The following is a 17,039-nucleotide window of genomic DNA, read 5'->3' as shown; positions in this document are numbered from 1 at the left end:
GGAGAAGCAGAGTTCACACCTAAAGCAGGAAATGTAATTAGTATTTGTTAATATAATGCATCCCCATTCCTCTAAGTGAGCCAAATTCCACCCAATATGGCTGAGAAGATAATGTAAGTGGAAGATACAGTTTTCATTGTAATGGAACATAGTTCCATTGGCTCAAATGGCATGTTACACGTGGCAGAGAGCCAATAGATGGGATTGGGGACAATGAAAGAGGGCTACAGAAGATATCTGCTTTGTTACTGTTTTTATTTTGAAATCCAATATTCCTTCATCTTTTTGGAAAGTGTACCCTATTGAAAAAAACAAGCTATGTTTCTCAGTCTTTTTACCATGTGCATGTGGAGATGTGTTTTCCCCATATCCTTTCTCCAAGGGTTGGTCTGTGACTCAGGCCTGACTAAAAATAACACCCATACCTCCATACCTTTGGCCACAGGGATTGATTGGTTCAACCATGGACATGTGATCTAACTGGAGCCAATAAGGCTCAATAAGACTATGTAGATGCCTTGCTGAGAGAGGCACCATTTATTCAGCTGTGCTTCAACATAAGAAAATATAGCTCTGAACTTGTTGGCAGCCATCTCGCTACAACACAAAGCTTGAAAGCAAACTCAGTACAGAAGACAGAGAGCCAAAAACTGGGGATAACTTGAATCCTTAGGACATTACTTGAGTCTCTGAATCAACTCTGGGGTTTGAAGCCATCCCTACTCCCAGATTTTGCATTTACAAATATCAGTTATTTAAGTTAGTTAGATTGCCTTTTCTGTCAGTTACATCCGCAGGCTTTTTTAAAATCTGAGGAGGTTCTCCAACCCAGCTTCCTTCTTTTATGTGTTTCATTAAATACATAGTACCTTTTTAATACTCCGTTTTCTTCTTTGTGAAAGGAAACAATGTCTACTTTGAAGGGCTTATGAAGATTAAATGAAACAATAAATGTAACAGCATGATTTTGTTCCACAACACTAGGAACAAAAAATATCCCATTACTCCATTTTCCTAAATTAATTTTAACCCTAAGTCACACCATGACTATGGGAAGAGATCAATATCTGTAATAAATGGAGACCTTCTTCTTTAGTATGGCACATAATATCCAAAAAATACCTTAGATGGAGCTTCTGGCTTCTGCCCATTGTGATTGCTGCCAGGAAGCTCATTGTGAAGCCCTTATGGTCCATTAAAGGCAGTTGTCTCCACAGCCTTTGTGCCAAGTGTGGGCACTGACAGCTATAGCTAGAGTTTCCAAGACAGTAGTATTGGAGGGTGAAGTCTCCAGGCATCAAATAAGCTCTACAAAACAAGAGTCTTACTTAATTCAAGATTTCCACAAGGATCTTGCCACTTTGGAATCTTTTGCTGCATTACTTTCTCAAGTCCCTGTCACCCTTAAGCATCTCTTTCACCTTTCAACCTAGCAGTGCCGCGTTCCCAACCTTCACATCTTCCTTCTCCAAAATACCCATCTAAATTGACCTCCCACACAAGAAGAGTTGCATAAAAGGTGCCTAACACTTTTACTTGGGGTTTGGGAAAACAAGTTATTAACAATCTCTGAGTACAGAAGACCAGAACTTTCTGGAAGACAGGAGGGCAGAAATACCTTTTCATTTCTCTTGGGGTCTAGTCTCATCTGCTTCTCCTCTGGAAGTGGGAGACAGTCATAAATAGCTTATTATTATTTTTTTCTGCTACAAATGTAGATTGTCAAGCAGACTGCAAGTAAGCAGAACAGGAATCTCCCAATCAGTGACTTTTATATATATATATTTTTATTATACTTTAAGTTTTAGGGTACATGTGCACAATGTGCAGGTTTGTTACATATGTATACATGTGCCATGTTGGTGTGCTGCACCCATTAAGTCATCATTTAGCATTAGGTATATCTCCTAATGCTATCCCTCCCGCCTCCCCCAACCCCACAACAGGCCCCAGTGTGTGAGGTTCCCCTTCCTGTGTCCATGTGTTCTCATTGTTCAATTCCCACCTATGAGTGAGAACATGCGGTGTTTGGTTTTTTGTCCTTGCAATAGTTTGCTGAGAATGATGGTTTCCAGCTTCATCCATGTCCCTATAAAGGACATGAACTCATCGTTTTTTATGGCTGCATAGTATTCCATGGTGTATATGTGCCACATTTTCTTAACGCAGTCTATCATTGTTGGACATTTGGGTTGGTTCCAAGTCTTTGCTATTGTGAATAGTGCCACAATAAACATACATGTGCATGTATCTTTATAGCAGCATGATTTATAATCCTTTGGGTATATACCCAGTAATGGGATGGCTGGGTCAAATGGTATTTCTAGTTCTAGATCCCTGAGGAATCACCACACTGACTTCCACAGTGGTTGAACTAGTTTACAGTCCCGCCAACAGTGTAAAAGTGTTCCTATTTCTCCACATCCTCTCCAGCACCTGTCGTTTCCTGACTTTTTAATGATCGCCATTCTGACTGGTGTGAGATGGTATCTCATTGTGGTTTTGATTTGCATTTCTCTGATGGCCAGTGATGATGAGCATTTTTTCATGTGTTTTTTGGCTGCATAAATGTGTTCTTCTGAGAAGTGTCTGTTCATATCCTTCGCCCACTTTTTGATGGGGTTGTCTGTTTTTTTTTCTTTTAAATTTGTTTGAGTTCATTGTAGATTCTGGATATTAGCCCTTCGTCAGATGAATAGGTTGCAAAAATTTTCTCCCATTCTGTAGGTTGCCTGTTCACTCTGATGGTAGTTTCTTTTGCTGTGCAGAAGCTCTTTAGTTTAATTAGATCCCATTTGTCAATTTTGGCTTTTATTGCCATTGCTTTTGGTGTTTTAGACATGAAGTCCTTGCCCATGCCTATGTCCTGAATGGTATTGCCTAGGTTTTCTTCTAGGGTTTTTATGGTTTTAGGTCTAACATGTAAGGCTTTAATCCATCTTGAATTAATTTTTGTATAAGGTGTCAGGAAGGGATCCAGTTTCAGCTTTCTACATATGGCTAGCCAGTTTTCCCAGCACCATTTATTAAATAGGGATTCCTTTCCCCATTGCTTGTTTTTCTCAGGTTTGTCAAAGATCAGATGGTTGTAGATATGCAGCATTATCTCTGAGGGCTCTGTTCTGTTCCATTGGTCTATATCTCTGTTTTGGTCTCCAGTTCCATGCTGTTTTGGTTACTGTAGCCTTGTAGTATATTTTGAAGTCAGGTAGTGTGATGCCTCCAGCTTTTTTCTTTTTTGGCTTAGGATTGTCTTGGCAATGCGGGCTCTTTTTTGGTTCCATATGAACTTTAAAGTAGTTTTTTCCAATTCTGTGAAGAAAGTCATTGGTAGCTTGATGGGGATGGCATTGAATCTATAAATTACCTTGGGCAGTATGGCCATTTTCACGATATTGATTCTTCCTACCCATGAGCATGGAATGTTCTTCCATTTGTTTGTATCCTCTTTTATTTCATTGAGCAGTGGTTTGTAGTTCTCTTTGAAGAGAACCTTCACATCCCTTGTAAGTTGGATTCCTAGGTATTTTATTCTCTTTGAAGCAATTGTGAATGGGAGTTCACTGATGATTTGGCTCTCTGTTTGTCTGTTATTGGTGTATAAGAATGCTTGTGATTTTTGTACATTGATTTTGTATCCTGAGACTTTGCTGAAGTTGCTTATCAGCTTAAGGAGATTTTGAGCTGAGACGATTGGGTTTTCTACATATACAATCATGTCATCTGCAAACAGAGACAACTTGACTTCCTCTTTTCCTAATTGAATGCCCTTTATTTCCTTCTCCTGCCTGACTGCCCTGGCCAGAACTTCCAACACTATGTTGAATAGGAGTGGTGAGAGAGGGCATCCCCGTCTTGTGCTGGTTTTCAAAGGGAATGCTTCCAGTTTTTGTCCATTCAGTATGATATTGGCTGTGGGATTGTCATAGATAGCTCTTATTATTTTGAGATACAACCCATCAATACCTAATTTATTGAGAGTTTTTAGCATGAAGGGTTGTTGAATTTTCTCAAAGGCCTTTTCTGCATCTGTTGAGATAATCATGTGGTTTTTGTCTTCGGTTCTGTTTATATGCTGGATTACATTTATTGATTTGCATGTGTTGAACCAGCCTTGCATAGTTAAGACTCATTGGCAGCCCAAACTGCCTCTTACTTTGAAGCACTGGCATGACATCTAAGCTTGCACAGCAGTGCACTATGTCTCAGGCTTTCTGGTAGAAGGAAGGAACTGGCCTTGAGTCCCAAGGGTGGGGATAGGAGGCAGTTGCCACAAGTTCTTGAAATGCTGCATGGCCTGACTAGTAATATCTGTACCTGTCCTTGTAACCACAGCCCAATTTTAGCTCAGGATTTAAGGAACTATAAAATTTCTAAATGAAAGACCTCAAAGAGAAGAACACCAAATGCTAGCCTTGACTCCCTCTTATATCTTGGATTCTGGTTCAATTCTCCATGCCCACACCGTCATGTTTGTTTGTTTGTTTGTTTGTTTGTTTTAACCTGAACTCATTAAAGAGATATTTGTGACTCCAGCTGCTGATTCCTGGTATCCTTATGCTCCCACCATCCCCAGGCTCCCAGCACACTTATACATTTTGGTTGTCCTGATATTACACTTATGGTATAGGACTTCATGTCTTATAATTCCAGGAAGCCCCTTTTCTTTTTCCCCTATTTTACACCATTGTTATCCTACTGGATAACAAGTCTGCAAAATGTGTGAATGATGCCCCTGGGAATTTTTCAAATCTTCTGACCCTGGCTGAGGACAAAGCCTTGAAAAATTTTAGTAAAATATTACTTCATTCTCCAATCATTTTTCAGCTAAAGAGTTTTTCTTTCCTTTGGACCATATTAACTCTTCCACATAGGTGGGAGGTTGTGTAGGAGGAAACACCATGCTAGAAACAGAGGGGGAATGGGCTGCCTTACTGAACTATGTCCTTAGTTTATTTTGGACAAGTCACTTTCTAGCCCCAGTGTGTTCAAATCCTTATATGATTCTTTCCTCCGGATTTGTATCTGGAGATAAAGAACTGAGAGCCAGGTATGGCTTGCTATGTGACCTCAGAGAAGTTATTTTCCTTTTGTTAGATATCCCTGGTCCATGGATACGTGGCCAGCCCAGTGCCTACTACAGCAATTCTTCATCCAACTCGGTGTCCACAGGACACTTTCAACATTTTCAAAAATGCAAAACGGCCACTGTTTTCACAAAAATGTTCTTGTCCTTTATGCCCTTCAGAGCTAGAATCTGTTAGGGTTAGGGAGGGGGAAATGTGGCCCTGTCCACATGTGGTGTATGTAACTCTGAAGCCGGTACCTACTGCAGTGGCCAGGTGAGTAACCCGAGTGCTTTCAGTTTTTGTGCTAAGATTCCCTCTCCTGGCCTACGTGGCATCTATTCCTCCCCTTCTCAGTTTTGCTATGACCTTTGCTTTGTTCTTTGGACTCCTCCTGTCATGAGGAAGAGTCATGACAGGAGGAGACCAAAGGATTCTGCTTTATCATACCCATCGCATACTAAGCCCTGGGTGTCCTACAGTCAGGTAGCCAAGGTCACCCTGTACATAGTCACACACCTTTACCACTCACACCAGCCTATCTGAGATTCTCCGGAGCTGAGAGACAGAGGGAAGGCTAGTGACTTTGAATGGGACCATTGAGCAAGAAACAATTCTCTCTGTGACTAGGAAGGTGAAGAGGAGCAGCAACAATCTCTTTGTCTGCTCCACTGTTCACAAAATACAGAGCTGAAGTTTTTTATGCCTTTCTGCTCTAGCTGAATATGAGGGCATAGGAATGGTACCTGCAGTATTGCTTCAGAATTTCATTAATGCTGAGTTAGCACAGCAGAACTTGTCAGCCTCCATCAGAAGGGGAAGGGGATCTTGGGGGCAAGTAACAGCTGATCCCCACCAACATAGTCAAGGTCAGTGTTTTTTCCCCTCACAATGGCCCAGCCACCTTCAAACTTTCAGTTCCCAATGTGCAAAATATGAAGCTCCTTTTCTCTTACTCTTCTGGAAACTGAGTGCGGGATTTCTAGCTGTATGAAGCCTTACGAATCCCATCTGTCTATAACTATATAAACTTCAAGTTAGAGAAGAAACAGGTTAAAGTTATGTTCAGCTAGGTCTTGCATTGGGATCTCTATTGTTTGTCACTTTGAAAAGCCCCTGAATGGCTTATGGCATTTTGTGTAGTTTTTTTTCTTAAGAAATTATTATGAAAAATGTTTTTTTAAATACCTCCTCTGAGTAGGAGCAAGGGGTCTAGGACTAGGGCAGATGAGCAGTGCCAGGCTTAACCTCTCTCCACGGCCCTGCTCACCTTTGAGAAACCCAAGTTATCCTTCTATAAGAGCTGAAATTGACTTCTTTCCTTGAATCCTTATTTCTAGAATTTTCTAATCCTGAATTCCAAACACAGAACAGACAGAGCAGCACTTGGCTATTGGAAGGACAGATATATTTGGGAAGACTAAATACCCTTGCTCATGAGAAACAGAAAATATTGAGAAATATGACAATATTATTTAGCATAACAGTAAACTATACTTATACATTCATGATAATGCAATTTCTAAACATTATTCAATATTATGATATGATTATTTTAAAAGGATGGTTGCATGAAAATGGGGGAGGCTGTAAAGGCCAAGTTCTCATCATTTATGGTAAGAGGTCAAATTCAATGCCTAAAATTAATAAACTATAAAAATTGATAACACATTAAAAAATGTGAAACCCAATGAGAAATGAAATAATTAAAAGTGCAAAGTGGTTACCACTGGGAGGCAGGGCATGTTGTAGAAGAATGTGTGGATAAGGTTGCTCTTTTTAAATGAGACTTATAGAACTTGTTTTATTCCTAAAATAACAAGCATGTCTTACTATAAAAAAAAATTAAATTACAAGAAACTCCTGCAGGTATGTTCCACGGTGGCTGAATTTTAAAATTCATAAATAAACTTGATTCTAAATCCATTTTCTAAAACAGACTTTATCATGTTTCTACTGCTGTAGTTTAACACAGATATTCTGAAATGCACAAAAAAAAACAAAATTAATGTACAGGTGGAAAAGCCCACACAGAAGCCAGGGCTGACCAGGAGGTATGCTCAACCCAGAAACTTGAAGCTTCACTGGCCATTAGTGCCACTGTGGAACAGGATCTGAACTCGACTAGTGGGAGAGCCACAACTGAGATGATTCCCCAAACATATTAAATCAGGTGCTCAACAATGACAATCTTGAAGGGGAAATTCTTACCAAGTGAACCAACAACAAAAATAAGAACAGATCCCATCTCTGTTGGAACTTGTTGGGAAGAACTTAGTATTCTTAATATCAATGCTTCTCAACTTACGACGAGGTTAATTCCTGATCAACTCATCCTAAACTGAAAATATTGTAAGTAAAAAATGCATTTAATACAGCTAACTTGTGGACATCATACCTTAGCCTAATAGCTTAAACATGCCCAGAACACTTACGTCAGCCTACAGTTGGGCAAAATCATCCCATACAAGACCTATTTTATAAAGTGTTGAATATCTTATATAATTTACTTAATACTGTACTGAAGTATGGTTTCTACTGAATGCCCATAGCTTTCCCACCATTATAACTTCAAAAAATCCTAAGTTGAACCATTTTAAGTTAGGGACTGTCTGGATTAATAATCTTCCCTAATAATTGGTATCCATAGCTCTCCTCTCAGCAGTCCTGGGACTTGAATTATACCATACCCTCAGTCTAAGGAGCCACAGTCCAAGAAACAACACTAAAATGTTTCCAAATTGGTCATGCTCCTTAGGGTTGTCAGATTTATCAAATAGAATACAAGATGCCCAGTTAAAACAGAATGATTTCCAATTACCTGTGAATACATACACTGAGATTTTAAAAATGTTGTCTGGGATATACAAATAATAAAAAACACTATTGTCATTTACATGAAACGAATTATGAGTATCTAAATTACGTGTCTCTTTCCTTGATTATACTTCTGTGATGACTCGCCTCTTTTTAACAGTTCCATGATTTACAAAATTTGTTTTAAAATCTCTTGCAGTCGTGAGCCGAGATCGCGCCACTGCACTCCAGCCTGGGCGACAGAGCGAGACTCCGTCTCAAAAAAAAAAAAAAAAAAAAAATCTCTTGCAGTCACAGTCTATATTACATTTACATTGCAACACAACTGTACAGTAGTCACATCAGCCTTATTTAGTTATTTTGTCCATTAAGCATTCATTAATGAAAAAATATGTTAAACTTAGTGACAAAATAATAGCATTCTCATGAATTTTAATTTTCTTTCTGATCTCTCTTCAACAGTATAAATGATGACTCTGCATGTTCTCAAGCTAGTGATTATTTAATAACAACCATGTAAAAAATTGAATTATTCAAGTGATAAAATCTATTATAAGAATTAGTCATCGCAGGAGCCTTAATAATTATCCATTTCAATTTGGAATTTCTTTTCCTGTTTATAAGTAATAGTGTATTTATTTCGACACAGGGATAATTTTTTTTTGGTCAATTCCTTACTATATTCAACAAGTTATTTTAAGCAAGAGTACTGCAATAACACCGCTCTTCTTTTAATGTGCTAAAGAGATATTGTGAACTATGAACATGAAATAATTAGGTTTTGCTCAATGGATTATACAAAGTGTTAATAGGAATTTGGGGGGCATTTTTGTTTAGAATTAAAGTATGATTTTAGTGCTTCAAATAAAATGAGATGCTCTCAAGTACATTTGTTAAAGAGAGCCAACAGGTTTTTGAATGTGAAAGAATTGAACAATACTGAATGTAAACAGAATAACAAAAATATTTTAATTGCTCAGTGTGAACAGTATAAATACTAAAGTAAGAAAAAAGTTTATCAAAATTACTTCAGTGTGAATGAGAAGGGCATGTGTCTAAATCTGTTTTTCGCTACTGTAACAAAACACCAAAAATGGGGTAATTTATGTAAATAATAGAAACTTATCTGACTCATGGTTCTGGAGACTGGGAAGTCCAACAGCATGGCAATGGAATCTGGCAAGGAGCATCCCCTGGTGGAAGGCACATGGGTGTACTAGAAAGAATTGAAATCTGGCCAAATCCATCCTTTCTATCAAGAGCCCACTTCCATGATCTCTCACCAATGTGTGATTGATAATGATGTTAATCCATTCAATAGGGAAGAACCTTCATGACCTAATAACCTTTTAAAGTTATTTAAAACTTTTGATACTGCTGCATTGGGGATTAAGTTTCAAAAACATGAACTTTGGGGGATGTTTTCAAACCATGTCAGCATCAACTACTGTTTTAGCAGCATTATGTAGAATATGGGCAGAACAGCCAACATCTTTTATAGAATCATTCATATTTTGCTTAATCATTTAATAAATATTGTTTGTACCTTCAGATAAATATCCACCAAAATGTTTATTTGTAGTATGTCCATCAATTCATAAAAGAAAAATTTTTTTCTTTATTAACTTCAATTTGAATAAGAGCATTTCTGAAAAAATTGCTATTATTTCTGAAGTTTTATCAGAAACAGTTTTGCTTACAGTAGCCTTATGGCTAAGCAAGCCTTTTCATGAAAACAATATTACACAATCAAAGGGAAATGTTTTTCTGAAGTATGATAACTTGCATTGTGGCTACGTTATGAAAAAGATGAGACATTTAGATTTTTATAATCTCTATAATAGTAAATGGAACTTTTTCATTTAAAAAATTTTTGCAATCAATTTCATTTTGACACTTGAAAATTTGCAATTTTGGAATCAGAAAATGCTTATAACAGCAATATGTTCAGTCATTGGAGCTATGAAACTAATGATATAAATAGTGGACAGCCATTACAACTTCTGCTGTAATTATTTTATCTTCTGAGTTTTAATATTAATCACTTTTCTTTGGTACTAGTTGAGAAAATTATATATCTCTTTTCCTTAGCTATATTCTGTGCTATTTCATCTTTTCAGCATTTTTTATATTGACTGAACAATTGTACCCTGAACAAATAACTTCAAAAGCATTTTTCCCTCATTTAATGATTGTCCTCTGTTCCAAAAATTTATCACAGAATTATACTGTGTATAATTTGTGTATACACATATACACAAATTAAAAAAAGATAATACTAACAACTAGAGGAGTTAAAAAGATTAAACATGATAATCTCAAGTCAAAGCATCGGTATGTTTTTCACTCACAAGTCCAATTCAAAACTAACCATAAACAAGGTTCAACCATAAAAAGGTTCGCAAATGTTTGAAGTAATAATAATTTAACTTGACAGCTAATGCAAACTTTTCATTGACTGTAAAGGAGAGCTGCGTTTGTAAGGCAAAATCTTCCCTAGTGAACCCAGAACTGATATATGAAGTTTTTGGAAGTCTGCTGTTCAAGAATTGATGGATTTTCAGAAGCAGGAGTATTTAGAGATTAATGGACTTTAGCTATGTTAGAGTGGTCACTGGATTAAAGCTCTTATTGATGGCTGGATCTCAGAAGCCTGGTCACCGGAGTGAGACCTTTGCTGATCAGCTCTTGTGTAGAAGCATGTGGCTGTCACTGGTAGGTTGAGTTTCAGAAGGTTGAGATTTTTACTAACTTGCTAACTTTCAGAAGCACGGTTACTGGAGTGATGCCATTGTTGAATGACTGATTTTCAGAAGCATGGCCACTGGAGTGAGACTGTCCTGATTGACTGAATTTTACAGCTTGCGAACTGATTAGAAGTTATCTCAGATTTGAGTCTTTGGTCAAACAATAATCTTTTTCTTTCTCGAATATGAAAAACACTTTTAATTCTCAATCCTCCTTTTTGATTTTCTCTCAAACTACTAGAGAGACCATAAGGAATTATCCAGATATTTACTTGTGGAAGCATGATTTTCAGCTTGTGTTTTCATCAAAGTCATTTAAGCACCTTGAGAAATAGCCATTTTAAAATAATTTATCAATAAAAAGCAGAATATAGGATATTTAAGGTAGCCTGATGAGCTCAATATAGGACTTAGGACAGAATCATTAAATACAGAACATGTCTCACAAACATAGAGTGTCTGGAAGCCTTAGTAACAGGGCCAATATGAAGATAATGTTCATGTGTTTATCATTGTGTAATTGAGAGATTAAAAATTAGACTAACATTAATAAAAAATAAAATAGTGAAAAGTAGCACAGTGATGATATCACACTTATAATGAATGCTTCTTTAACATTTCTAAAATAAATATGAATTATGAAAATTAATTTTCAGAAGTAACTTTACATTAGAAAATTATTTAATATTCAGAAGAAGGAAAACCATTGATCAGTTGAAATTACAAGAAACCTTTAAATATATCTCAGCAGAATAGATGCATTCTTGTGTGTGTGTTTATGTATATTTACATTATAATCAGCATCTATTCACAAGAATCTATTTTTGAACATATAAGGCATTTATATGAGAAATGACATAAATAATTGACATATTATTAAACTGATCATGGGTAAGTTTTCCTTTCAGACTTATCTGTATGTTGCTTTCTATATATATATTCTATATATATATCACAATTTACTATATTATTTACATGAATCTTGGGTTTAGACCTTTGGATTTTCCTTTTTAAAAAAATCAAATCATCATAGTGGATGATTTGATTTTTAAAAGTTTCTATACACTTAGAAAAAGCTGAAACAGTGCAGTCAGTCATTGTGTAACTGCAGGTATTCAAGTTTCTCCTATAAATTTTTACCTTTGGGAGGCTGGTTTGGCTCCCATAATGAAATTTAGCTGTGAGAGATGCAGTTGTTGGGCATTAAACACACACACACACACAGAGGCACACAAATGCACACAATGTTTTCTTACTGTAAGAAACTTCTAGGAATATATTAGATGGACTCTAACCAACAAAATAGCAAAACATCTAAAGTTCATTACAAGATCTTACCAGAAAATGTCAACAGCCTGAATTTCTTCCTTCTTACCCACTACTGGTTAGATAGCATCACCTTCAATATATCTTCTTCCAGTTTTTAAGAAGGGAGAAACTATGTTACTGTCGTTTCTCTCCCTATGCACCCACTGAATTGATTTATTCATCTGTTTAAAGTGACTAGGGAGCAGCCAGAATTTATTTTGTTTACAGTGAAAAAATGTTTATTTTTTTAAAGGTTCAACTGTCACTCCAGGAAAATACTTACCCACTACTGCTAAGTGAAAAATACCAGTATTTGGAGTGTCAAAGTGAGTCGTGGCTCAGTTTGTTCCTCAAAATCCCTATTTGTTTTCCTTTATTGCTGCTCAGAGCTTGGTGAAAGTTGATCTACAGAGTATTATAAATATATCTTATCCTGTATCCTTCAATAAAGGACTGTTTGAATGCCAAAGTGCTGGTGCCCTTAACCATGCTGTGCGTCTCAGTGGATTTAGCAGTGCATTTAGCAGACAGTATAACCATACAACATTCCATTTCTACAGTTAATGTGTCACTTTTTTCCCCACAGTAGAAGTGATTTTTATACCAAAAACAGCAAGTGGTCAAGAGCTGAAATAGATTAATCAGCATGATCCTTCCATAGAGATCTCTGATTTGTACTATATTTATTCAGTGGGAGGGAGGGGGATGGGCAAGGGTGATTCGTACCAGAGAATCGCGTGTATTTTTCAAGTTGTGACATTGCTGAAAGGTAACTTTAAGTGTTTTGCCTTAAAACCACTGTGCTGGGGCCAGTTTCATGATGTTTTGTTGATGTGTTATCTGCTGGACAATTGTAAAGAGAGTGGCTTTTTCTTATAGCTAATGACACTAAAATTATACAAGTTTTGGATTTATACATTAGCTGTCCTAATGTTTGAAGGATTGCATTCTGTACTGGTATATGATATTCCACCTAGCCTAGCCCAAGACCCATCTCTCCAATTACTAGGGACATACCAGTGAAGAAACAAGGTTTGAAGAGGATTCTATTCCTGTGGCTCAAAGACATACACACATTCTGCACTGCTTCTTTTGCTATAGCAATTAAAGCCATGGATTTTCACATGTACATCCATCTAATAAAAGTTGAGCTCGAAAAGCCCAAAGTGCATTTGAGTAATGTTGACAGCCTGCCCAACTTCACAAATGGTTTTTGGGTAATGCATGATCAAATATGTAATGTGCTCTCGTGCTTCCCTCTCTAGCTAAGAAAACTGATTGATTCTTGACAGGAGTATGAATGGTGATTCTTGACTGTTGTTCTCCCGCTATACCATTCTTCTTATCTCCCCTAAGCCAATTCATCATTATTTCTGGAAAAGGAATATTAGGGAATCCAAATAATTCAGCTAAATCTGAATGTTGAAATGGGCCTAGAATATAGCCAACAGTGAAGAGCCAGATCCACTAATTTTATTGTTATATATTGCCTCTCAGTTTGGCAGCCCTTATGTTTTTGTCATTATTTGATTCATTAAAATATATTAAGCCAGTGGCTTGAGCAAAATCATATAATATTTCATGCAAAATAACACAATTATTAAAAATCTTCAGACTCTTGCTAAATTGTACTTCCACCCTACTTCCATCACTGCTCAAATTTGACTTTTATATGTTTTTTATTATTTTCAGAAATTTATTTTCATGGATTCACAGTTTAGTATAATAGACAGCCAGCAACAAAGTATTGTTTTGTCAGTGATGAATGACCAATACGGTTTCCTTAATACTAATAAAAAATGGATGTACTTTTCTGTCATTACCCCTCCCTCAGAAAGGCATCTCCTTAAACCATTCCTATAAAATATATATTTTTATCATGGGCTAAGAGACTAAGGACAATAGTGAAAGCCTCACGTGGAGGCCTAGAATAAGGGAAAAGAAAACTCACAATTGATGATGCTAATTCTCAGGATTCTCACCTTGACTTAATGGATTCTCAGCCTTTGAGTTAATGTGTAATGTAGCATTTCCATAAAGGATGGATAGTCAGATTGAACCTCACACATACTGTGTAGCTGTAGAAACAAAAAAAAAAGAGCTCTTATGATTTAAATATTGATTTTCAAATAATTACATCTTACAAAAATAAATCTTACGATCTTTATTCTATCTTATCTTAAATCCATTATTTCTACCATGCATTTATGTGATGGCATCCCTGGAGTTTTTAGTGCAATACCATGACTGGGGTAACAACCTAAGCTTAACCTATTTTACTAACTTTCAAGAACAGGCTACATCTGCATTTAAACCAACCATGAATTTATACATATTTTTCTTAAAATAGAATGTTGTCCTTCAGGGCTAACTAGCAAGTCACAGTTAAGGTTATACTGAGGAATGTTAATTAGCATTCACCAAAAACCTAGGGAAGGCAAAGCTTGATCTTTGTACGTAGAGTGAAGTGGTTGGTTTTAGCAGAATTTATAACTATAATGACCAATAAAAGAAGGATATTTTTCTAATTTAAGTTAAAATTAGAAACATGGACTTGTTTAACAGCAAGGAAACTGTTTTTCCTGGTAACACAAACTACCATGTTATAAATTGAGTCTTGTAAGAGACGTCTTATTTCTGATTAATAATTAATAATTATACAGTATAAAATAAAGAACTTTCTATAATATCATTAAATAATTGTTAATCTTTATGAAGCTATTGCACAATGCGCATAGTCTGAAATTTAAAAATCTACAGGCAAAGATTAATTGGATAAATTTAATCTGTTACCTAAATCTGGCTAGAGAATGAATGACAGCTGCTGAGACACACAGGCAATCTGAATCTGGATCTGCCACCCCATTACCCACCTCCCCACCTCAACTCCATGCAGCAGTCTAGAGCCATTTCAGAATTAGTCTTTATGCTTTTGGCACTCTTCCCCTTTGGAATGTGGTTTAAAACCCTTAGCCTGGCAGCAAGACCCTTCTTCATCATGTATAAATTACCCTTTTAAGCCCCATCTTGCATCATTACCTTCCATTAATATCTCATTATAGCTACATCAAAGTTTCAGCACCTTCTGAATGTACTCTGCCCCAAAGTACTTTCCTGCACCATTGCCTGCTATTTCTACTGCCAGGAATTCCTTTTTCTCCATCATCAGAAGAGAGCCTTTGTTTCTCCCATATGCTGTCACTTTCTCTAGGAAGCCTGAATCAGATTTTCCATTCAGAAAAAGCTTCCATTTCTTTGTGTTCCCATAGCTGCTGGGTGAAAATCTGCTCACAGTTTGTCTTCCCAGTAAGATTATTAATTCCTCAAGAATAAAAACTTGATAATCATTGGCTCCATATTGCCTTGTGCTACTTGGCATTTATTTATACAGTTTCACTTTGAAGAAATGAATGCGTATTGCACCTATTTTATCTTGACTTGAAATTTTGCTGTTTATCTGTGTGCAAGATCTTCTAATCATGAAAATATAACCACCCAAAAGTTTCATCTTGCCTGCTGCCCAGATAGAACCAATTTATCAAGACAGGGGAATTGCAATAGAGAAAGAATTCAATACACATAGAGCCTGCTAAATGGGAGACTGGAGTTTATTATTCAAATTAGCCTCCATGCAAATTTGAATGCTAGGGTTTTTTAAAGATAGTGTTGTGGACAGTGGGTTAGGGAATGGTTGCTGCTGATTGGTTGGGGAATGCAATCATAAGGGTGTGGAAAATGGTACTCGTGGGCTGAATCCACTTACACGTGAGGGCCACAGGACTGGTCGGGTCTTGAGTCTTGGGTCTCAGTGGAGTCATCCAGTGAAGTCATCTGGTTTCAGAAATGCAAAAGTCTGAAAAGACAACTCAAAAGATCAATCTTAGATTCTATAATAGTGATGTTACTTAAAGGAGTGACTAGGGACGTTACAAATCTTATGACCTCTGGAACAAGAGCTAATAATCATTTAAATACTCCTACATTTTAGCAAAATTCAGGCCCGTCTCATAACCCTAAATTTGTGGCGTTTTATTTTATAAAGGCAATTTAATTTGGGGAAAGGCTATTAAAATTTAAACTATAAACTGAAATTCTCCCAAAGTTAGCTTGGCCCAAGCCCAGGAATGACCAGGGGCAGTTTGGGGGTTAAAGGCAAGATGGAGTTGTTTAAGTCAGATCTCTGTCACCATCATAATTTTCTCACTGTTACAATTTTTGCAAAAGCGATTTAAAAAATTTTGCAGTTCTTAAATATTAGAAGAAGTCATGGGACTCCACTTCTTATCTTAACTCTACTATTTTGGGTGAGCTTGAAATATCATTTGAAAAGAATTTATGCTTATTTTTCTTATCTGTTAAGGGTACACCAAAATCTCACAGATCCCAACTGAAGAACATACTCATGTAATCAAGTACCTCTTGCACCCCAATAACCTATGGAAAAAAATAGCAATATCTACTATGAAGTATTCTTGTGATGTTTTAAACAATGATGTATGTGACAATGCTTCAAAAAAATCCTAAAAACTATGGGAATGTATGACTATTATTAATTATCATAAGAATTATTCTCAAGTTATACCCTAATTTTGTGTCTGATTATTTAAGTAATATCTGCATTCAGTTATTCCGGAATATCTGCATAATGGCAAAGCTTTCATTAGTTTGTTTTGTACATGATCTTTATTCAAAATTACATTACTTGTAAATTAGTATTTATGTTATGCGCTTGAAGAATACGCACACACACACACGCAATCCTTGGCTTATGAAGGTTCTATTTGTGATTTTTTTAGTTTACCATGGTGCAAAAGTGATAATGCATTTAGCAGAAACTATACTTCAAATTTTTGAATTTTGATCTTTCCTCTGTCTAATGATACGTAGTTGAACATTCTTTTGTGATGCTGTGCGGCATTAGCAAGCTGCAGCTTCCGGTCAGCCATGCAATCACAAGGGTGAATAATTGAGACTCTATGAGCGTACAGTGTTGCCAAATGATTTTGCCCAAATGTAGGCTAATATAAGTGTTCTAAGCACATTTAAGGTAGGCTAAGCTAAGCTTTGATGTTTGGGAGTTCAGGTGTATTTAATCTATTTT

General features: G+C 36.5%; 1 protein-coding gene and 1 long non-coding RNA gene across 15 annotated transcripts in view; one reads left to right on the top strand and one right to left on the bottom strand.

Moving 5' to 3' along the window:
- LINGO2 (leucine rich repeat and Ig domain containing 2) overlaps positions 1-17,039 on the top strand; it is a 1,275,985-nt gene that overhangs the window by 620,504 nt on the left and 638,442 nt on the right. The window lies entirely within an intron of this gene.
- LOC105376004 (uncharacterized) overlaps positions 1-17,039 on the bottom strand; it is a 57,191-nt gene that overhangs the window by 3,832 nt on the left and 36,320 nt on the right. The window contains exons 4-5 of the long non-coding RNA XR_001746641.2: positions 15,702-15,791; positions 13,921-14,016 (exon numbers count right to left, since the gene is read on the bottom strand). This is a non-coding gene — a long non-coding RNA (uncharacterized LOC105376004). The remainder of the gene's footprint in view (positions 1-13,920; positions 14,017-15,701; positions 15,792-17,039) is intronic.

This window comes from Homo sapiens, chromosome 9 (genome assembly GCF_000001405.40).
Source record: "Homo sapiens chromosome 9, GRCh38.p14 Primary Assembly".
In the NCBI taxonomy this organism is placed as follows: Eukaryota; Metazoa; Chordata; class Mammalia; order Primates; family Hominidae; genus Homo; species Homo sapiens.
This window is presented reverse-complemented; position numbering and strand designations above follow the sequence as displayed.